Source organism: Homo sapiens, chromosome 17 (assembly GCF_000001405.40).
Source record: "Homo sapiens chromosome 17, GRCh38.p14 Primary Assembly".
In the NCBI taxonomy this organism is placed as follows: Eukaryota; Metazoa; Chordata; class Mammalia; order Primates; family Hominidae; genus Homo; species Homo sapiens.
In genome coordinates, this window is record NC_000017.11 from 74,873,544 (window position 1) to 74,895,198 (window position 21,655).

At 52.9% G+C, this 21,655-nt stretch overlaps 1 protein-coding gene across 4 annotated transcripts, besides 6 other annotated features; it reads right to left on the minus strand.

The window, feature by feature from the left end:
• Nucleotides 601-1,501: an enhancer, noted in NCBI's record as "H3K27ac-H3K4me1 hESC enhancer chr17:72870273-72871173 (GRCh37/hg19 assembly coordinates)". NCBI's record gives its function as "activates a minimal SCP1, AML or CMV promoter by ChIP-STARR-seq in naive H9 embryonic stem cells {active_cell/tissue: H9 hESC(naive)}" and the evidence as "EXISTENCE:reporter gene assay evidence [ECO:0000049][PMID:30033119]".
• FADS6 (fatty acid desaturase 6) lies at nt 1,244-20,090 on the minus strand. Of its 4 annotated transcripts, XM_017024458.3 has the most exons (8): nt 20,044-20,090; nt 19,809-19,989; nt 18,980-19,146; nt 8,987-9,167; nt 7,525-7,712; nt 5,861-6,040; nt 4,827-4,934; nt 1,244-4,261 (listed from the first exon to the last, which is right to left on the minus strand). In XM_017024458.3, the coding sequence occupies exons 1-8, from the start codon at nt 20,050-20,052 to the stop codon at nt 4,181-4,183; spliced, it is 1,095 nt and encodes a 364-aa protein (XP_016879947.1). In that variant the 5' UTR covers nt 20,053-20,090; the 3' UTR covers nt 1,244-4,180. The 4 variants fall into 4 exon arrangements, with proteins under 4 accessions (XP_016879947.1, XP_005257281.2, XP_047291715.1 ...); XM_005257224.6 differs by having other exon boundaries at nt 19,809-20,090; XM_047435759.1 differs by lacking the exon at nt 18,980-19,146 and having other exon boundaries at nt 19,809-20,090.
• Nucleotides 1,866-1,937: a transcriptional cis regulatory region, noted in NCBI's record as "candidate enhancer chr17.4853 targeted for multiplex CRISPR interference". NCBI's record gives its function as "positively regulates FDXR gene expression with high confidence in K562 cells {active_cell/tissue: K562}" and the evidence as "EXISTENCE:mutant phenotype evidence [ECO:0000015][PMID:30612741]".
• Nucleotides 2,617-2,911: an enhancer, noted in NCBI's record as "tiled region #12632; K562 Activating DNase matched - State 5:Enh". NCBI's record gives its function as "activates a minimal TATA promoter and a strong SV40 promoter by Sharpr-MPRA in K562 cells {active_cell/tissue: K562}" and the evidence as "EXISTENCE:reporter gene assay evidence [ECO:0000049][PMID:27701403]".
• Nucleotides 5,496-5,995: an enhancer, noted in NCBI's record as "H3K4me1 hESC enhancer chr17:72875167-72875668 (GRCh37/hg19 assembly coordinates)". NCBI's record gives its function as "activates a minimal SCP1, AML or CMV promoter by ChIP-STARR-seq in primed H9 embryonic stem cells {active_cell/tissue: H9 hESC(primed)}" and the evidence as "EXISTENCE:reporter gene assay evidence [ECO:0000049][PMID:30033119]".
• Nucleotides 5,996-6,495: an enhancer, noted in NCBI's record as "H3K4me1 hESC enhancer chr17:72875669-72876168 (GRCh37/hg19 assembly coordinates)". NCBI's record gives its function as "activates a minimal SCP1, AML or CMV promoter by ChIP-STARR-seq in primed H9 embryonic stem cells {active_cell/tissue: H9 hESC(primed)}" and the evidence as "EXISTENCE:reporter gene assay evidence [ECO:0000049][PMID:30033119]".
• Nucleotides 8,902-9,432: an enhancer, noted in NCBI's record as "H3K4me1 hESC enhancer chr17:72878575-72879105 (GRCh37/hg19 assembly coordinates)". NCBI's record gives its function as "activates a minimal SCP1, AML or CMV promoter by ChIP-STARR-seq in naive H9 embryonic stem cells {active_cell/tissue: H9 hESC(naive)}" and the evidence as "EXISTENCE:reporter gene assay evidence [ECO:0000049][PMID:30033119]".
• Nucleotides 20,091-21,655: the final 1,565 nt, after the last annotated feature.

Sequence of the window (21,655 nt, forward strand, 5' to 3'; positions counted from 1 at the left end):
TGCCGATGTAACCCCTCAAATCCCCGTCTTTGCCGGGCCAGGGAGAATATTAAACCCTGGAAAGCTCGTCCCACCTCACCTCCTTTCCCATTACATAGGTGAAGAAAAGCGGGGCGGGGCAGTGGCTTACGTATGGTACTAAGGACAGAGCGTCCGACCCCCGTGCAGCCGAGCCGGGACCAGAGTTGAGGTACTCCCCTCGGGTTCAGAATTTAAGGGGGCTCCAAAACACTCAGTAATCAAGATAAATATAATACTGCAACGTTTTAAAAGGTCAAAAGTAATGCAAAAAGTCTATGATCAAAATGTTTTTAAAAATAAGGACAGGATCCGTAGTCACAGCTGACCCAATAAGCCTAACCCCTCTTCCTTTTCCCCATGGGCCCTCTTGTCAAATATTACTTCCTTGGAGAAGCCTTTTCTCTGACCCGTCCCCTCCCAAGTTCCAAGGAGTTAAAGGCCTCTCATTCCACAGCATCTGACCTTATCCCATCATGACTTACTACACTGGTTGTCGTTTTTAATGAGATTTTAAATTCAATAATAACATACAGAAAAGTGCACAAATCATGAGTGTACAACTTGACAATATATCACAAGGTGTAACCATATAACCACCACCCAGATCAAGAAATAAAACATGGCCAGTATCCCAGGAGTCCTCTGTGCCCTTACTGGTCACTTCCCCTCCCTCCCACTGGTAAGTAAATGCTGTCTGCTTTCTAATAGGTCACTGTGTTTTATGCCTGTCCCACTAGACCAGGAGTAGGCAAACTATAGCTTGCAGGCCAAATACTGTCCACCAGCATGTTTTGGATGACCAACAAGAATGGCTTTTACTGTTTTTGTTTTTTTGGAGGTTTTGGGGTTTTTGTTTTTGGTTTTGATTTTGTTTTTTGAGACAGGGTCCTGCTCTGTCACCCAGGCTGGAGTGCAGTGGTGCTCACTGCAACCTCTGCTTCCTGGCTTGGCTCAAGCGAGCCTCAGGCCTCAGCCTCCGGAGTAGCTGGGACCACAGGTGCCTGCCACCACGCCTGGTTCATTTTTGCATTTTTTGTGGAGATGGGGTTTTGCCATGTCACCCAGGCTGGTCTCGAACTCCTGAACTCAAAGCGATCCTCCCACCTCGGCCTTCCAAAGTGCCAGGATTACAGGAGTGAGCCACCACACCCAGCTTGTTTTTATATTTTTAATGGTAAAAAACAACATTTTGTGACACGTAAAAATTACATGAAATTCAGACTTCAGTTTGAATAAAACTTTATTGGAAGACATCCATGCTTACTTCTTTACATATTGTCTATGGCTATATTTGTGCTTTGATGGCACAATTGAGTAGTTGTAACAGAGATCATATGGTTCGCAAAGCCCCAGATATTTACTATCTGGTCCTTTACAGAGTTTGACCACCCCTGCACTACATTATAAGCTCCATGAGGATGGGGACCCAGTCTCAGCTCTTATACCCCCAGGGCTTCACACACTGGCTAGCACATAATGGAAGTTCGTACAATCGAAAAAGTTCTGTAGGGCTCCCCATCTAGAGGCAGTATATCTGGTGGTGGAGGATGGATTCTAGAGTCAGACAACATTGGGTCTGAATCCCTCTTCCTCCACTTACTAGCTATATGACATTGAGAAATTTAATCTCTCCAGGACTTTTTTTCACTGTCTGTAACATTTGGGGGAAATATGAATAGTGGCAATTTGTTGTAGACATTAAAATCAGATGATGAGGTCAAGACAACTTCCATAAATGCTAGATAAACATTAGCTATTATTATCATCATCCATATGTATTATGACCTCCCATATGTCTCTGTAGATTAGACCTTAAGTCTCTGCAGAGATCTGGATATACTTCATTCACTCCTGTCACCTCCCTCACCTCTCAGGCCTCAGAAATTCCCAGCCCACATCCTAAGTGAAACAGAAAATGGAGCCTCAAAGCAATCGAGTGACTTGTTCCCATGATACCCATGGTACAGCCAGATCTGGCACCAGTGCCTTCAGCTGCTGCCCATACCCCAGTCAGGTCCAGATCAATAACAATGAGTCATTGGTTATGTATTTGGATGGTTTTAATCATGAGCCAGGACTGTGCAACTGGGGCCTTTTCTGCCACTGCGTTTCTCAAATGGAGAATTAGCAGTTTGATTAATTACACCCCTAGATCTCAAGGCCATTTCTAAGCTGCTAATGCATTTCCAAGGAGCAGCAATAACATATAGCAAAGCAGTGGGCTGGGGAGCCGCCAAGCCTGCCTCGTGCCAAGAGGGCTGCCTGGATCCAAAACTCCACTCTATCAGTCAACCTTCTAGCAAGAAACAGATGGCACACTCAAAAGGCGTGATTGAGGACAGTTTAATGAAGGAGTTTGTATACAGAGGTGTGAGCAGGGTGAAGGGAATGGAGAAGCACCCCAGGCTAGCAACAGCTGGAAACCACTACCACCGCAAGCCTGGAGGGAGCTGTTTCAGAACTAGTGAGAGTCTGTAGCTATGGAAAAGGGTGTCTAAAGGAACTGCGGTCTTTGGTAAAGGAAGGTGTGGTGGAGATGAATGGAGAGTGCACATAAAAGAACCAGTGGCCTCTGTGCAGCTGCCTAAGGCCACACCACAGAGGGGCTCTCCAACGGAACAAGGCTCAGGGAATGCCTGTGCCTGTAGCCAGACCCCTCTGCCCATCCCCCAGGCTCCCATTTGCCGGCAGTTTGTCTCCCTATCAGCAGGGTCAGGAGGCCTTTCACTCTATCCAAGGCCTTCACTGAAAAACAAGGCAATTACACGCTCAGAGAATGACTTGCATGTTCTCAACTGGGTCAACTCAGCAATGTCTGGAGACATTTTTGATTGTCACAACTTGAGCTCCCAGCATCTAGTAGGTAGAAGCCAGTGACGCTGCTAAACATCCAACAATGCACAGGACAGCCCCCAACAACACAGAATTGGCCAGATAAAATGTCAGTAGTGACTGGGCATGGTGGCTCACACCTGTAATCCTAGCACTTTGGGAGGCCAAGGTGGGTGGATTGCCTGGGCTCAGGAGTTCGAGACCAGCTTGGGCAACATGGTGAAACTCCGTCTCTACTAAAATACAAAAAATTAGCCAGGCATGGTGGCAGGCTCCTGTAGTCCCAGCTACTCGGGAGGCTGAAGCAGGAGAATCGCTTGAACCTGGGAGGCAGAAGTTGCAGTGAGCTGAGATCATGCCACTGCACTCCAGCCTGGGCGACAGAGCGAGACTCCATCTCCATAAAAAAAAAAGTCAATAGTGCCAAGGTGAGAGACCCTGTTTTCAACTAATGGGTCTGGCCTCCTTCTCTGTCTCTCCCTCAGCCTCCACCTGGGCACTTCCTAGCACCCTCCCAGTCCAGCCCCCAGCTGGGGCAGCTCCCAGCCCTCTCTCAATACTACCCACTGTGGGCTGAATCTCAGTGGTGTCCCCCAGCACCTTGGTCTCTTCCTCTGCCTGGCATTGGTAGTTCCCTTATATTCCCACCTCACTCCCAGGCTGCAGACCATCCTTCCACAGCCCTGCCCAGCCCTGACTTCAGGCTCTTCTATCTGCACCCCACCCTCCTCCCATTCCTCTCTGAGGTCATCCGTCCTCCGGACCCTGTTCCCAGTACCCCCTCCAGCCCCAGCCCCCTCCTACAAATTCTTCTCTCTCCCAGTAGATGATCCCCAGGTTCACTTCTAAACATCACAGAACAAACTGTTTGAACTAGCCAAGGTCACATTCAAAGTTATTTATTCTTTTTTTTTTTTTTGAACGGGAGTCTTATTTTTTATTTTTTTATTTTTTTGAGATGGAGTCTCGCTCTGTCACCCAGGCTGGAATGCAATGGTGCAATCTTGGCTCACTGCAACCTCCACCTCCCGGGTTCAGGTGATTCTTCTGCCTCAGCCTGCCAAGTAGCTGGGACTACAAGTGTATGCCACCACATCCAGCTAATTTTTTGTATTTTTAGTAGAGACGGGGTTTCACCATGTTGGCCAGGGTGGTCTCGAGCTCCTGATCTCGCGATCCACCCGCCTTGGCCTCCCAAAGTGCTGGGATTACAGGCATGAGCCACCGCCCCTGGCTGGCTATTTATACTCTTTCCCTAACTCTGTCCCTGGGGAACCTTCTCCCCTCACTTCCCCTGGAGTTCCCTCCCGACAAAACACACTCACTTTTATCTTGCTGATACTGTGGCCTGGGGAACTGCTGAGCCAGTGTCTTGCACAGGTTCCTTTGGCTGAGGATCGAGGAAGGCCTGCCAAAAGCAAGCTCACCCTAAGGTCCCCGGGGAGAGGGCACCTTGGTGGGCAGAGCCTGAAGGAAGCAATAGCCAAGGCCGTGTGGGGCTCTCCCAATGCCAGGGAGGTCCCAGCCGAGGGAGCTGACCCTGTTCTCTCTGTGCCCCCTGCTATCTCCCAGGTGGCCCCTGCACAGGATCCCTCTTCACCCTGTCACCTCCCTTTAACCCTACCAAGGCTCAGATGGAGCAGGGGGAAGGACCCAGCTCTTTAGTCCTGAGATGAAGTTGCTGAGGTCCAGACTGACCAGAATGCACAGCCACCATTACCGCTTCACCCAGACACCCCTCAAAACCCAGAAAAGCACGCAAGGCAGGTGGCCCCCAGACCCCAGGCCTGAGCTCCCCTGCCCCCCTGCCTGGCCGGTGCCTCCACTCTCCAGGTCCACCACCAGCCACTGAGCCACACCCCCTGGACCAGCAGCAGCAGGAGGGCCAGGGCCAGGCCAGGGAGGGGCAGGGTGGCTGCACCGGCCCGGCCTCATTACAGCCCCACAAGCTCAGTGATGGGTGGGGCCTGCACCATGAATTCCTCATAGCGACGGAGAAACAGCTGGAAGCGAGCCAGGTATGAGTCCTCGTTGTACGGTAGCTGCTTCTCACGTAGGAACTGGGACACCACGGGCTTCACCTGGTGGAAGATGGGCAGGAGAGGGCCTATGAGCAGGGGCTGTGGGCAGGCCCATCATCCCGTCAGGGGAGGGAGGGACATCATCTTCCCACCCCCAGTTCCTATCGGCCTTGTTCCAAGATTCTCCGGAGGAGCAGAAGGGCTTAAGTCAGAGAATTCTTGTCCCTAACCCTGCAGAAGAAAGGAGTGGCTTCTCTCCGACATCCAGGGATCCTGACTGCATGACAGCCCTCCTTGGCACAGGGGGATAAAAACCAGAGCTCCCTTTTACCAAGCACCTACCATGTGCCAAACATTTCAGATATATTTCTCCATTTCATCCTCAAAGCCTGTCAACAGAAGCCCTTCTACTCCCATTTTACAGAAGAGAAAGCTGAGGCCTAGAGGCATTCAGTTCACTTGTCCAGTCGCCCTGCTAGTAAGAAACCTGGGTATCTCTGATCTAAAACCCATGCTGCTGTGGATACACTGGGCTGCCCTTCCTGGGTGACCTCTGACCAGGCCAGTTGGGGGACTTGGAGTTCAGGTGAACCCTGAAGTTTCCTCCCTCCCCTCACCACCTTTTTTTTTTTTTTTTTTTGAGACAGGGTCTTACTCTGTCACCAGGCTGGAGTGCAGTGGCACGATTATGGTTCATTGCAGCCTCAACCTCTGCAGACTCAGGTGGTCCTCACCTCAGCTTCCAAGCAGCTGGGACCACAAGCATGTGCCACCACACCCCGCTAATTTTTGAATTTTTTGTAGAGATGGGGTTTCACCATGTTGCCCAGGCTGCTCTCAAACTCCTGGGCTCAAGCAATCTGCCCACCTCAGCCTCCGCAAGTGCCAGGATTATAGTGTGAGCAACGCCCCCAGGCCGAAGAATCTTCCTTTCCATCCTCTAACAGTCCCTTTATTCCAGCGCCCCCAGCCCAGCCCTCGACTACCTTCAGGCACATGTTATCAGAGAGCCTGGGGAATAGATGGTGTTCCACATGGCAGCTGATGATCGAGTGGCCGAACGCCCAGTCCAGCACGGGCAGCCGGGCCAGGTTAAGCACCCCCAGGCTCATCATGTGAATCCGACGGGGCTTGTTGTCCCGGGAGAACATGGGCAGTCCGATGTGCTGTGACAGACACGTGGGTCACGCCGGGCAGCCTGGACCTCCCCACCCCACTCCAGGTGTCCTGGGACCTCATGCTACCCAGAGGGTTCTTGTGTCACCCACCTCCCATGTGGGGGGACCTGGTAGAGGGGCTCCTGGCCCAGCTCCGATGATGACCCTGTCTGTTTTCTGCACTGACTCTCATCCATCTCTGGGCCTCCCTCCCCATCTGAACAGTGAGGGGCTTAGCCTGCACACCTCTCAGGTCCCATGGTTCCCTAATGCTCTCAACTGCCTACCACTCAGTCTCATCACACCGTGCCCTTGCCTCATTCTGGAGAGACCCTTCCTGCTCTGTTCACCAGTCAAGATCCTACTCATCATTCAAGGTCAAGTTTAATAGGCAGTGTCAAGTGCTTCCTCTGCCAGGTGCTCAGGAACTCAGAGGTCAGGAACTCAGACATGACCAGGAGCTTCGGTGGTTTCAGGACAGAACTCAATTATGGGATTAAGTAATTAAGTAGTTAACAGCAGTTGTGGTAAGTGCTGGACAAGGAAGTACAGGAAGCTCTACTCTGAGGCCTTCCCTGGGCAGGGAGCAGGGAGACGTCCCTCTGGAAATGACGCTGGAGCTGAATGCTGAGCCCTGGCCTCCCGTGAGGAATTCCGTCTCCAGTTCCTCCATCTTTCTCGGGGCAGGCACTAGGGGCCTTTATCTCCTACTGCTTGGCATCCGCGCATGGAGGAAGGCATGCTGACTATGTTGAGGAGAAGCTCACTTCATTATTATTATTATTATTTCTTTTTTTTTAGCTGGAGTCTCACTGTGTCCCCCAGGCTGGAGTTCAGTGGCGCAATCTCGGCTCACTGCAACCTCTGCCTCCCGGGTTCAAGCGATTCTCCCGCTTCAGCCTCCCAGGTAGCTGGGATTACTGGTGCTCGCCACTATGCCCAGCTAATTTTTGTGTTTTTAATAGAGACAGGGTTTTACCATGTTGGCCAGGCTCCTGACCTCAGGTGATCCACCCACCTCAGTCTCCCAAAGTGTTGGGATTACAGGAGTGAACCACCGCACCCAGCTGAGAAGCCTGCTTCTTCCCTGAAACCAAAACTCGAATGATCCTCAGAGCAGGGGGTGGTCGGGAGGGGACCACTTACCACAACTGCTGTTAATTACTTAATCCCATAATTGTGTCCTGTCCTGCACCAACCCGAAGCTCCTGTTCACCCCTGATTTCCTAGACCTAGCATAGTGCCTGGCAGAGGAAGCACTTGACACTACCTGTCAAACTTGACCATGAATGATGAGTAGGATCTTGACTGCTGAGAGGGCAGGCAGGGTCTCTCCAGGACGAGGCGAGGGCACAGTGTGATGAGAGCGAGAGGGAGGATGCCTCATCCTTCAGGTGGCCCCTCTCTCCTCAACCTAGAGTCCAGCCTGTGATCAGGGCCCCTGGAGAATGCTCCCCTTAGCTGCCCAGCGCCCCAGGTTGGGGTGGCCTCACCTGGAAGATGTTGACGTGGAGGTAGGGGTGGGCCAACAGGGATCTGGTGAGGAACATGCAGCCCAGGGCTGAGCTGGGGTTCTTGAAGCCTGACACGTTCAGGAGCAGCCAGTAGTGAGAATAAAGGCCCAGAGAAATCAGGGCCAGCGTCCGCAGGGCTGTCCCGAGCTCCACCTTCCTCAGCCGCTCTGCCATAGAGGGAGGGGACAGGCAAGGCTCAGATCCATCAGGAGGGGCTCCCTGCTGGCTCAAGCGTGCTAAAGCAGTGGCGGAGGCCAGGCGTGTTCAATTCATACCCACAACAGCCCTGAAAAGCAGGGCACCCCATTGTGTGGATGAAGAAACAGAGGCCAGGCTCGATGGCTCAAGCCTATAAACCCAGCACTTTGGGAGGCCACGGCAAGCAGATCGCTTGAGCCTAGGAGTTCGAGACCAGCCTGGGAAACATGGTGAAACCCCATCTCTATCAAAAATACACAAAATTTGCTGGGCGTCGTGGCGCACACCTGTGGTCCCAGCTACTCAGGAGGAGCCTGGCCTCCCAAGCTCGGGTGATCCTTCCACTTCAGCCCCCTGAGTAGTTGGGACTACAGTTGTGTGCCACCTACAGTAAGTTGAGATTGTGCCACTGCACTCTCCAGCCTGGGCAACAGAGCAAGACTCTGAAAAAAAAAAAAAAAGAAAGAAAAGAAAAGAAAAAGAAACAAAGAAAGAAACAGAAACATTAAGCAATCTGACCAAGGTCAAGCCCTGGGATTTGAACCCAGGTCTAGCTGCCCCATCACCCCTGCCTCCCTCCACCATATGACATAGCTCTCCTGATATCAAAGCTGATAACATGAAGTATTATTTGTGCAAGGCATCTGCAAAGCATTTTTTTTTTTTTTGAGACAGAGGCTCCTCTGTAGCCCAAGCTGGAGTGCAATGGTGAGATCTCGGCTCACTGCAACCTCCGCCTCCTGGGTTCAAGTGATTCTCCTGCCTCAGCCTGCCAGGTAGCTGGGACTACAGGCGCCCACCACCACGCCCAGCTAATTTTTTGTATTTTAGTGGAGATGGGGTTTCACCATGTTGCCCAGGGTGGTCTCAAACTCCTAAGCTCAAGCAATCCACCTGCCTCAGCCTCCCAAAGTGCTAGGATTACAGGTGTCAGCCACCACACGCAGACCCTGCAAAACATTTTTATACTTAGGACCTCATTTTCTTTCACACCATACTTGAGGAGGAGGTACAGGACCCGAGGCTCAGACAAGTTAAGTTATCTGCCCATAGTCCCCAGCTAGTAAGCGGCAGAGCCAGACTCAGCTCCAGGTCTGAGGCTCTTTCTACCTTGCCATGCTGTCTCAGCACGTATCTATCGGGCCTTCCTCTATAAGCAGCCTCCATGAAGCCACGCAGGGGAGGAGAGCAGGGGAACTAGGTCCATGCAGGACACTGCGGACCGGGCTCTCATGGCACTCACCGACAGCCACCAGTGGAGTGGCGATGGGGAGGAGGAAAGGAGCAAGGAACATGTAGACATAGCGGTTGAGGCAAGGCAGCCTCCACGTGCTGGAGTCCCCCAGGCCCACCACGTTGGTGTAGGCATGGTGCATCTTGACGTGCCCATGCGTGGCGTGCTCTGCAGTGAAGGCTGTGCACACCTAGAGGAGGGAACCAGAAATGACACTGGGGTCCCTGTCAGGCACAGTTGAGCAATGCAGGACCTTTGAGAGCCCGGAGAACACCCCCACCTCCTCAAACCCTGCATGTCCAGGGCCGTCCTGCCTTACAGCCCCAGCTAATCCGCTTTGACCATCAACTCTCAGGTATCTATGACCACGGAGTGGCAGCCAGTCAATACAATCGTGTCCGTTTGACGAGGCTCTGCAAAGCATTTGGGGGTGGGAGGCTGGACCCCTGGAGTGCCAATCTGCCAGTGACTGCCCAGGCAATGAGTCTCAGAGTCTGTCGTGATTGGAGGCACTGCAGGTGATGACCCCGGCATCCAATGCAATGATTTTGTGTGTGTTTCTCTTAGAAGCATCTGCTCGTTAATAACACTGAGCACTCTCAGCCCGGAGCAGCAGCCAGGAGGGGCTACAGGAGTGGTCTGAGAGAGCAGGGACACCATCCCCTGACCAGTCCACAAGGTGGGGGCGGTGCCCTGGTGGGGGCCAAGAGCTTCTCCCTAGAGGTGACTCTTCTGCAGTATGGATCCCCAGTGGGATTCTCGGAAGCCGCTCTGAGCAGCAGCACGTGCGCTCTGACTCCTAGGAGAGTAGTCAGTCTGGAATGCAAAAGCCACGCTAAGGTGTTTCTTAAGCAGATACATGCAAATGGTATGCAGATGTAAGCCTCTTCCGATATTTTATCTAGGACAGAAGATGTGGCTAATTTTATTGAAGATGCTGCCTGTTTCTGGAACGACGTGAAAAGTTTCCCAATACCAGTCACTGCAAGCCAGGAAAGGACAGCGGAACACCCCCGCAGAGGGCTCACTGCACCAGGCTCAGCGCCCTTCACTCGCACACTTCCTGAGGGCGGTGGCGGATGACCACATGCTGCTGAGTTAGTTGGAAAATGGATGGTCCTGCTGAAAAAGATTATTTATTTTATTTTTATTCTGTTTTGAGATGGAGTCTCGCTCTGTTGCCCAGGCTTGAGTGCAGTGGTGAACCTCTGCCTCATGGGTTCTTGGTTCATTGCAACCTCCGCCTCCTGGGTTCTCCTGCCCCAGCCTCCCGAGTAGCTGGGATTACAGATGCCCACCACCATGCCTGGCTAATTTTTGTATTTTTAGTAGAGACAGGGTTTCACCATGTTGGCCAGGCTAGTCTCGAACTCCTGGCTTCATGTGATCCACCCACCTCGGCCTCCCAAAGTGCTAGGAACACAGGTGTGAGCCACTGCGCCCAGCCCCATTTGTTCTTTCATGCAGTTGTTTGTTCACATAAGCATTGTCGGACCCCCAGTGGTGCCCAGCACCATGCTAGGCCTGTGGGGTTCCCAGGGCCTTGTCCCTGGGAAAAGGAAGAGAATGCCATCAGCCCCATTTGATGGGCTCATTGCCGACTGTACGGGACCCACTCCCATCAGGATAAGGTGCTCTCGAGGACTATTCTTGCTGTGGCCCTCACCAGGGTCCCTCTCTCATCCCAAAGGTGTCTAAAACATGGCTGCATTCACACAGATCCTGCCCCAGAGCCAGCCCGAAGAGTTCCCTGAGGACTTGCACCTGGAGACTTGTACGCTCCCTGAGCAAGACTGACAGGTGTAGCAAATGAAAATACAGGATGCCCTCTTAATTCTGAATTTCAGATAAACAAAAAATACGTGGAATATTTGGGATATACTTATACAAAAATATTGGTTGTCTGAAATTCAAATTCATCAATGTGTGTTAGGCCATTCTTGCATTGCTAAAGAAATACCTGAGGCTGGGTAGTTTGTAAAGAATAGAGGTTTCACGGGCTCAGCGTTCTGCAGGCTGCACAGGAAGCTTGGTAGGGAGGCCTCAGGACGCTTGCAATCATGGCAGATCACAATCGTGACAACCGTGGCAGAAGTCCACAGGGAAGGGGAAGAGGGAGCAGGCAGTGACATGATGAAAGCAGGAGCAGCGAGACGGGGATAGGGGTGCCACACACTTTTCAATGACCAGATCCTTTTTCTTTTTTTTTCCGAGTCTTGCTCTCTTGCCCAGGCTGGAGTGCAATGGTGCGATCTCGGCTCACTGCAACCTCCACCTCCCGGGTTCAAGCGATTCTCCTGCCTCAGCCTCCTGAGTAGCTGGGATTATAGTCACACGCCACCACACCCAGCTAACTTTTTATATTTTTAGTAGAGACGGAGTTTCGCCACGTTGGCCAGACTGGTCTCGAACTCCTGAACTCAAGTTATCCACCCGCCTCGGCCTCCCAAAATGCTGGGAATACAGCGTGAGCCACTGCGCCCAGCCTAAATGACCAGATCTTTTGAGAACTCACCGTCACTCTCACCAAGACAACACCAAGGGGATACTGCCAAACCATTCATGAGAAACCCCTCCATGATCCAGTCACCTCCCACCAGGCCCCACCTCCTCCTCACTGTGCAGTAGCAGCAGCAGCTGGCCACTGGGGTTACTGCCTTTGTTGGCAAACTTGGGTTTATCTGCCTGTAGACAAGTCTCTCTCACACCAACAGAACTACCAGTACTTCCAAAACCAACTCACCTGATCTGCAACTCAAAGGCATTTTTTTAAGAAAACCACAAAAAAAAAAAATAAATAAATAAATATTACATTTCATCCTGAGATTTAGGTGGGACAAACATCAAAATCATATCACTGGACTTTTTGTATTTTACCTAGAAAACCTACTACTGAGGTCCATGGAGCCCCAGAAGCCCCCAGCATTCTGAAGCCAGATGTGAAGGGGCTGCTCATGCTGTGGGAGCCAGCAAGAGTCTGGAGAGAGGAACGGAAGCTACGCAGATCCAGCCCGGAAGCCCTCCTGCCAGACCAACGCTGCCCCTCTGACGACCCTCAATCCCTCTTTCTCATCCTGGTCATTCCTGCTGCCCACCACTCCTGCACCTCTTCCTTCTCCCCACAGATACCACCCAGACAACCACCACCTACACCCTCCTCCTTGAACCCCATCCCTGCCCGTCTGTCCTTACCATCTCTCAGCCTGCCCATGCCAACACCTTCGTCCCATCTTCTGCCTTGTCTGCCTCAAATCCAGTAGAGTGACACAGTTAAAACCCAAAACTGCATCATAATTTCATAATTATGGTCTTAATCCTGTAGTGTACTGTTTGTTTAAAAACTAAATGAGGGGCCAGGCGTGGTAGCTTATGCCTGTAATCCCAGCACTTTAGGTGGCCAAGGCAGGCAGATCACTTGAGGTCAAGAGTTCAAGACCAGCCAGGCGCAGTGGCTCACGCCTGTAATCTCAGCACTTTGGGAGGCCGAGGCGGGCGGATCACGAGATCAGGAGATCGAGACCATCCTGGCTAACACAGTGAAACCCCGTTTCTACTAAAAATACAAAAAATTAGCTGGGCGTGGTGGCGGGCGCCTGTAGTCCCAGCTACTTGGGAGGCTGAGGCAGGAGAATGTCATGAACCTGGGAGGTGGAGCTTGCAGTGAGCGGAGATCCCGCCACTGCACTCCAGCCTGGGCAACAGAGCGAGATTCCATCTCAAAAAAAAAAAAAAAAAAGAGTTCAAGACCAGCCTGGCCAACATGGGGAAACCCCTACTAAAAATACAAAAATTAGCAGAGCGTGGTGGTGCACGCCTGTACTCCCAGCTACTTGGGAGGCTGAGGTAAGAGAATCACTGAAACCCACGAGGTGGAGGCTGCAGTGAGCCGAGATTGTGCCACTGCACTCCAGCCTGGGCAATACAGTGAAATCCTGTCTAAAAAAAAAAAAAAAAAAAAAAAAACTAAAAGAGGAAAATATTAGAGAAGAACATAGAAGAAGAGACTGATAACCTCCAGCCATCATCTTCCAGGAGGAAATGGGACATCTGCAGAAAGGGGTAGGACAAAGACCTCTCCCGATGCTTTTTGAATTCTGAATCATGTAAACACATTACCTATTTGAAAAATAAGTTAGTTTTGAAAACTACCAACTTAGATTACCACCTTTGGCCACAAGACCAAGTTCCAGGTCCTCTGCCTGCCATACGCCCCCTTTCCCCTCTCCAGGGTCCCCATTGGATTCTGGTGACCCCTGATTCCTGAGGGTCCCTCATGCACTGTACTGCTTCCCACAGCCTTTGTCCATACATTTGTTCTGTCTGAAGCCACCTTCCTGCTCCTTAGTTTGGCCAACTCTGTCCTGATAGCATCTCCCCTGGAAACCGTCCCTGGAGTTTCTCAGCCCTGCATGATTCACATTTGGGACTCGGGCACTTTTTGTGTCAGGGACTGTCCTGTGCACTGTACGACATTTAGCAATGTCCCTGGCCTCTACACACTAGATGCCAGTAGCATGCACACGCACACACACTCCAGTCTTTTTTTTTTTTTTTTTTTGAGACAGACTTTTACTCTGTTGCCCAGGCTGGAGTATGGAGTATATGGAGTATAGTGATAAAATCTTGGCTCACAGAAGGCTTGAACTCCCAGGCTCAAGCAATCCTCCTGCCTCAGCATCCAGCCTCCCAAGTAGCTTGGACTACAGGTGCACACCGCCACATCCAGCTAATTTTAGTTTTGTTTTGTAGAGACAGGCTCTCGCTGTGTTGCCCAGGCTGGTCTCAAACTCCTGGGCTCAAGCGATCCTCCTGCCTTGGCCTCCCAAGGTGGTGGGAACCACTGGGCCTGGCCCACACCCCCATCTTGATAGCCAAAAATATCTCCAGACACTGTCCAATGTCCCTGCCCTGCTCTTCCCACCCTGAGCTCTCAGAGCTTTCACTCCACCCTGGTCAATGCCCTCATCACATTCTGCCTGCCCCAGTCACCTACCAGCTGGCGTGGCATTGCACAAGTGGCTTAAACTCCCAGATCAGTGTTTTCTCATCTACAAAGTGAGGGTAACAGTAGCTTAACCCCCATAGGGAGGTGCGACTCTGAAATGAGGTGATTTACAAAAAGGATGCAGGAAGCAGCCAGTAAGCCTTAGCTAGTGTGATCAGGATTTATTATTAATTATTTTTAAGATGGAGTCTTGCTCTCTCACCAGGCTGGAGTGCAGTGGCACAATCTCAGCTCACCACAACCTCCGCCTCCCGGGTTCAAGCAATTCCCCTGCCTCAGCCTCCTGAGTAGCTGGGACTACAGGCGTGTGCCACCACGCCCGGCTACCTTTTTTCATATTTTAGTACAGACGGGGTTTCACCATGTTGGCCAGGATGGTCTCTATCTCCTGACCTCGTGATCCACCCTCCTCGGCCTCCCAAAGTGCTGGGATTACAGGCGTGAGCCACTGCGCCCAGCCAGGGTTTTTTATTATTTTGATGTCATTTGTATGTGTCTTTTTTGCACTTGACTCTGAGTCCCTGGGGAAGTGGAACGGGGTCTTATTCACAGTTATGTCCCCAGCATCTACTGGAGCATGGTGTAGGTGGAGCTGAGACACCACACACACACACACACACACACACACACGCGCGCGCGCGCGCGCGCAGAGTACCAATGTCCGTTTCCTTGGTTTTGATATTGAATGACACTTAGATAAATGTAACTATTGCGTGAAATTGGATGAAGGCTACACCAGACCTCTCTGTCCTATTTTTGCAAGGCCTGTGAATCTATAATTATTTTAAAAATAAAAAAGCTTTTACAAAAGTATATTTTGTACTGCAAATCTGAGTTTTCTCTCCAAATAAATACTAAAAATTAAAAAAATAAGAAGTTGTAGTTGAACTTAGGCAACAGCTCTCGAGGTTTGCGTGGGAACAGGCAGAGAGAAGGTTGGAGAGACGGCCTGGAGGGTAATGGTCACACTGAACGCCTGTGAGGAGAGAACGTTCCAGGATCACGACTTAGGCGGGGGTTCCTGGCCCTGTTTCCACCCCCACAAGAGCCCTGAAGGAAGCCGATGACATTCTCCTACAAGGTGCCCTTCCCCCAGGGCAGAGCTCCGGTCCAGCAGCTGTGGCTCCAAGCCTGCAGCACAAAGCCGACTTCACATGGAGGATTTGAAGCGGAGACACCAGAGCTTCGGAACTGGCAGGGCCTGTTCCCTCCCACTCAGGGGAGCATCTTGGATTGTGAGTGACATGCAGGAGAGTCCTTTCAGGAGTTAATCTTTCCCAAGCTTCGGGGCTTAAATTACGGGGGCCTGCCCATCCCACACTGCCCCCAACCTTCCCGTGGCCATCTGAGCATGGTACAGTGCCCTTCATTGGCAGTCCCTGAGAATACGCCTGGCAGTCCCCATGGTGACCCAGGACAGGGCTGGGCAGGTACTCTCGCTGGGTAAGACCAAGGTTATCAGTGGCAGGAGAGAAGGTCAGGGTTAGGCTACCAGGAGGGATAGAACTTTCCTATGTGGAACACAAATGGGTCTTCGGAGGTTGGATACTTTAGGAGAGAAACAACAGCCTGGAGTGGAAGCCTCCCCCTCCAACCTGTTTGCCCCTCCCCCAGATCCAATGGCCCAGCTTGGAGCTGGTAAACCCTGAGACAATCCCAGCAAAAGCTGGGCACCTGGGACCGCCAATGATACTCAGTTAATGCCTGAGGCTGCAGCATTTGCCAAACACCAAAAGGAGCCCAGGGCCTATGGCTGCATTATTCTGCAATGAAGATGTCTCCTGAGCGTCAAGGTTTGGGAAAAGCACAGATATCCCACAAGGAAGGATCCTAAGAGAGAAGGCACCAAGACATGGGAGGAGAGTCAGAAATCCAGGAAGGGTCTTGGGGCATCCTCTGAGGTCCTAGGCATCAAGAACGTGTCCTCTGCACCCTGCAGAGGCCCAGATGACACAGCACCCAACGCCCCAACATATACACAGCCCTGTTGAGCTTTGCAAACTTGCAGTTAAAAAAACAACAAAAACAAAACAAACAAACAAACCAAAAAAAAAAAAAGGCCGGGTACAGTGGCTCACGCCTGTAATCCCAGCACTTTGGGAGGCCGAGGTGGGTGGCTCACCTGAGCTCAGGAGTTCAAGACCAGCCTGGCCAACATGGTGAAACCCTGTCTCTACAAAAATACAAAAAAAAAAATTAGCTGGACATGGTGGCGGGTGCCTATAATCCCAGCTATTAGGGAGGCTGAGGCGGGAGAATCACTTGAACCCTGGAGGTGAAGGTTGCAGTGAGCCGAGACTGCATCATTGCACTGAAGCCTGGGCAACAGAGTGAGACTCAGTCTCAAAAAAAAAAAAAAAAAAAAAAAAAGACAAAGCAAACAACTGCTAACCCTTTCCTTGCAGCTGACCACATTAACTCCAGAGAAAGAAAGTGAAGATCATACTGGTGGAGGGTGTCAGGACCAGGCCCTCCATTAAGGTCTGCACTGTTTCATTTTATCCACATGCTGGCCTCATGAGGGAGGTCGTGTTATTTCTCCTGTTTATTAGGTGAGGAAAGTGACACTTAGATGTTGAATTAAGTAACTTGCTCAAGGTCAGGGCAGCCAGTGGGGCTGGGAGTTCAACCATGGCTTCAAAGGCTGGTCTTGAACTCCTGACTTCAAGTGATCCTTCCACCTCGGCCTCCCAAAGTGCTGGGATTACAGGCGTGAGCCCCACTGTCCTCGCCGCCACCCTGTGTGGCAGACAAGACCAGCACCCTCCTCCAGCAGTGCACTTGCCTCACCAATGTCAGCCAGACTGGGGAGACTGGTCTGCCCCTTCCCCCACACTTGGAACTGGACCCTCCCCAGAGGGTAGCTGGAGGGCACCTGTGGGATGAAAAAATCAAGACGCATCCCACGTAGGTCAGTCGGAGGCTTGAGTAATAAACTACTCGGGCCCTGTTCCTCAGCCCACTGCAGTCCACCAGGCAGGTGTCACGACATGAAGCGGGAGCCAAGCCTTTCCTCCCCAGCTTCGAGGGGGCTTGCAGGCCTGAACCTGGTTCCCTAGACAACTGCAGGGTCATCGTCAGCAAATATTGATGGAAGAATATTGCCAAGAGCTCAAGTCTGTGCCAGGAGCTGAAGAGTCAAAGAGGCAAAGATGAAGCCACTGGGCTTACGGGGACAAGACAGCATTCACAAGCAGAATGCAGCACTGAGGCTATCTGGGTATCTCAAGCGTGCTGGGTTTCCGGTGGAGCGCTCCAGTAGAGAAGCCCAGGAAGGCTTCTCAGAGGAGGCGTCCTTGGCCTCCTGCATTCATTTGGCACACATGATAGCTATGGTGTGGGTGTAACACTTTGGTGGGTATCAGATTCACCTGTGGAACTTGGTAAAAACACAGTGGCCCGAGTCCTCTTCTCCAGCAAGCCTGGGCCTCCAGATCATTCTGCTACACACCGAAGTTTGAGAACCACTAGGTTACCTCTGTGCAATAAATGCCTTGCAGCCAAGCAGTCCCAAAGCCTCAGTACCTGCTCCTCATCCTCAGCTGCCTCTAGGCTCCTGGTACTCAGTACAGCTTTTTTCTTTTTGATTTTTTTTTTTTTTTTTTTGAGACAGAGTCTTGATCTGTCTCAGCCTCCTGAGTAGCTGGGATTACAGGTGCGTGCCACCATGCCCGGCTAATTTTTGTACTTTTAGTAGAGATCAGGTTTCACCACGTTGGTCATGCTGGTCTCAAACTCCTGACCTCAGGCGATCCACCTGCCTCGGCCTCCCAAAGTGCTGGGATTACAGGTGTGAGCCACCGCGCGCAGCCTCAGTACAGCTTTTTTAAAAATCCAAACATAGCTCATTCTGCCCCTGTGACCCAGCATTATGACACAGTCCATGTCACCAGCACAGCCCAATGTCTCCCTTGCCTCTCTGTGGATTACAAACTTGGCGGGCAGCTGACCCAGACTCCAGAGCCTGGCCCGTGTCTTAGAGTCTGGCCGGGACTAATGCTCAGGGCTCCGTGGGAAAGGAATTGTCTTGAAATTGACCCTGAGGATCAGAAGCCTGTCAGTTCCTCTTGTCTTCAGCACTTTGATGTGTGTGCTGGTGAGAGGGGCAGGGGAGGGGAAGAAGCAGGGGATAGTGCTAGGTGAGAAATGCTTCATCCACTCAGCTGAGTGGATAGTGATGATATATGTGTGTGTAGACAGTTATATAAAGTTATATAACTTTATAAAAACTTAATAATTGAGTTAATTGGTCACAACGACCAGTCCTTCCAGAAAAGAACTGTTTCTGGTCCCAGCTTTCCTATTTATTCATAAGGTGTGGCCATTCATTTATTTAGGGGAACCATCACCTGGGTGACCAGGCGACGGTCCCCCTGGAAAGGAGGAGGGAGCAAGTTCAGCAGAGGAACTGGGGAGGCCTGGAGACCAGTCAAGAGAGAAAGACAAGCTGGTCGAAACTTTTGCCTTCCTGGGCGTGCCCGAAGGTAAGAAGGCCAAGGTCGAACTGGGAAGGGGTGGAAGAAGGGAGGGCAAGGGTCAGGTGAGGTGGGTACTTCCTGGAGCTGACCCCGGGGAGCAGGGGGCTTCTCAGGAAGGCTAGGCCATGGCCAGGCATCAGAGGAGCATCATCCGGAGTAAGGACGCTGCCCCTTGTGGACACTGGGCCCCTCCTCCCCCTCCCTTTCTGTCTGTGGGTCACATTTTAAACCCTGACTGCAAAATCTGGAGGCCCCACTGGTTGTAACTGTGGGCCAAGACAGCGGCATACTCATCCTACAACTCTCTACCCATGGGGTGCAAAGACCCGCTCAAGGGCTTGGAGAAGTCCTCAGACACGCTGTAGTGCATACTGCACCAGTGGACCGGCATACCATCAGCTGCAGCGGCCTGCCCCCGTGGGCACATGCACAGCTGGACACACCCGCATGCTCGAACAGAAGAATGAGGCTGCCACACGGTCCCAGCAGCTGCCTGCATCCTCCTTCTCCCAGGCTCACCTCCACAAAGAAAAGCAGCCAGATCTTGCTCCAGCGTTTGGACTCGGTGAGGGCCCCATGAGTGGCCAGGTGGCTGCCCTTGACAGTGAGTGTGTAGTGGCACACACCCAAGATGGTGATGCCGGATGCAAAGACCAGGGCATTCTCCCAGCGCAGGCACAGGAAGCCTGCGTGGAGAGGAGGAAGAAGACGGGTCTTTCTCTAGCTCTGGGTGATCTGGGCCCAAATACCTCAACCCTTACCCTGGGAGCCCAGGCTAAAGTGGGCTAGGCTCTGGGGGCTGCCACTGGCCGGAGTGAGGCAGGTCCCACTGTGGCCTGAGGGGAACCAGGACTGCCCCTCCAGCGGTCCTGACTCTCCCGTGCCTGGTCCTGACTCTCCAGTGCGTGGTCCTGGGCCCCCAGCCAAAGCAATGTTGGGGCCTCAGGTACCATGGGTGTTCCAGACCAGGAAGGGTCCAGGGGAAACTCCCACCCCCTCCCCACTCACCTAGGTCCCCAAAGAACACCGTCTCCCTTCCCGGGGGTGGGGGGGCACCTCATCACTCCCGGCCACTCCCCCGCTCCTCTCAACTTTCCCTTCCACCACCCTCCTGCGCCCCCTCCTAGGGTACACAGGGCAGAACACCCCAGTCCAGACTCTCAGGTTCGGGGTGTGACCCTCCATCCTTGGGTGCGGGGCCCCGACCACCTCCGCCTCCCTGCCGCCGCCAGTCCACTCCGCAGGCTGCACTCCCACGGCTGCTGTTGCAGACCCCGCGCCGCCACCTCCGCCGCACCCCGCCCCCACCCGCAGCCCGGCCGGGACGCCGGGTCCCCGCGTTCCTCACCTGCCGGCAAGGCGAAGAGGCTGAGCGCGAGGATGGCGCAGTCCACGCCGTGGCGCTCCCACCAGGAGCTCGTCCTCACCACGTCCTGCACCAGCACCTCCAGCTCCCGCAGCAGCGCCTCGCCCCCACGGTGCGCGCTCCGCGCCGGTTCCATGGGCTCCGTAGGTTCCATGGGCTCCGTAGGTTCCATGGGCTCCGTAGGTTCCATGGGCTCCGTAGGTTCCATCGGCTCCGTGGGTTCCATGGACTCTGTGGGCTCGGGCCCGACGCGCACGGAGGACTGGAGGACTGGGGCGTGTGTCTGCGGTGCAGGCGAGGCGGGGCGGGCCGGGGCGGAGTCACGCGCCGCCTGGGGACACCCGCCCCCGGGGTCAAGGTGCGAGACACCCTGGCTCCTCTGCTGCGGGCGCTGGCGACCCAGGCCCGGCTCAGGCGCGCGACCCTGGCAGGCGGCATCAGAACCGCCGCGGAGGGAGGAGCCAGGCCGATGAGCTGAGAGTGGCTAGGCGGGGAGGCGACCCTGCGGTGAGACCCAGCCCAGGTAGTAGGGACGGAGGCGTCAGGGGCACGGAGACCCCAGTGGAGACACCCCCCACCCCCGCCCCGCCCCGAGGGCCTTCCCTGACCTCCGACCTCAAATAACTCCCTGAGTTCCCTCGGTCCCTGAGATCTGTCCGAGCATTCTCTTCCCTCGACCCTGACTATTCGTAGTGGCACTGAGCAGCTCCCCTCGTACGTGACACACATGACACATGCTGTCGTCTGTCTCTGCCAACAGACGGACCCTCAGTGCCGTAGAGACGTCCTCGTTTTGCCCAAGCTCTGTCTTCAGTACCTAGGGCAATGCTTGGCACAGAAACATCTGGGAATTCCTAGGGCAGAAAGTTCAAGGACTCCCCACTCCCCCTCCCCGTGGGTCAAGGAGTGAGAGGTCCCCTCTGAGTATGGCTTCAGCAGAGGTGACCCAGGGGAGCTGGCTCTTCAGCCCAATAATGTTTTGGGTGAGACGGGTAGCTACAGGGAATACACATCCGGAGGTCATCATTCTGGGTGGGCAGGCAGACCAGCCGGGTCCCGCTGCCATTCCACTCCCTCAAGAGCGCCCAGGCCTGAACCCAGGGCCAGGGCCTCAGCCAAGCCCTCTGAGATGTGGGAGCCACACCTGTCACATCCCCTTCCCATCAGCCCAGGCCCCCACCCCGCACTGCTGGAGATGGCCTTGGTCCTCAGGGGATAAGCCTCTGTCCTCTACAAACTCCTCTTCCCTGCTTCTGAATACCCTTTCTCTTTTCTTTTTTGTTTTACTTACTCCCAGTTTCATGACTTAAGGGATCTGGTATGGTGAGGACAGTGGCATCTTTAGCAGGAGACCCCTAGGAAAGAGAAGTTGGGTGGGTGGGGTAAGGGAGAGACAGTCAGGGATCCTAATGACATTGATTCCTTTTGACTCCTTCCTGGTGTTTTCCTTCAGGAATTCTTTTTTTTCTCTCTTTGTTTAGAAACAGGGTCTCGCTCTATCACTCAGGCTGGAGTGCAGTGGCACAATCACAGCTCACTGCAGCCTCGATTTCCTAGGCTCAAGTGATCCTCCCCCTCAGCCTCCTGAGTAGCTTGGGACTACAGGCACACACGGGGACCACTAAGCCTGGCTAATCATGAATTCGTATGAGCTTATTCCTTTAATTCTTTATCAAAGAATAAGATTTATTTACCAGCTCAGTATTCTAAGGGACTGACAATTTAATAAACCAATTCTCACCAAGTGCACGTGCGCATATACCTGCCCCGCAGGTTATCATTGACTTTCACATACTGATGAGGTTTTGTGGATTCCCCACATCCCTCAA

Excerpts from the sequence above, each read along its gene's own strand:
- FADS6 (XM_005257224.6), bottom strand. The coding sequence starts at position 20,052 with ATGGAACCCACGGAGCCGATGGAACCTACGGAGCCCATGGAACCTACG. Across the intron at positions 7,713-8,986 it reads CACTCCACTGGTGGCTGTCG|AGCGGCTGAGGAAGGTGGAG; the intron begins GTGAGTGCCATG and ends CCTCTATGGCAG. Across the intron at positions 6,041-7,524 it reads TCCACGTCAACATCTTCCAG|CACATCGGACTGCCCATGTT; the intron begins GTGAGGCCACCC and ends TGTCTGTCACAG.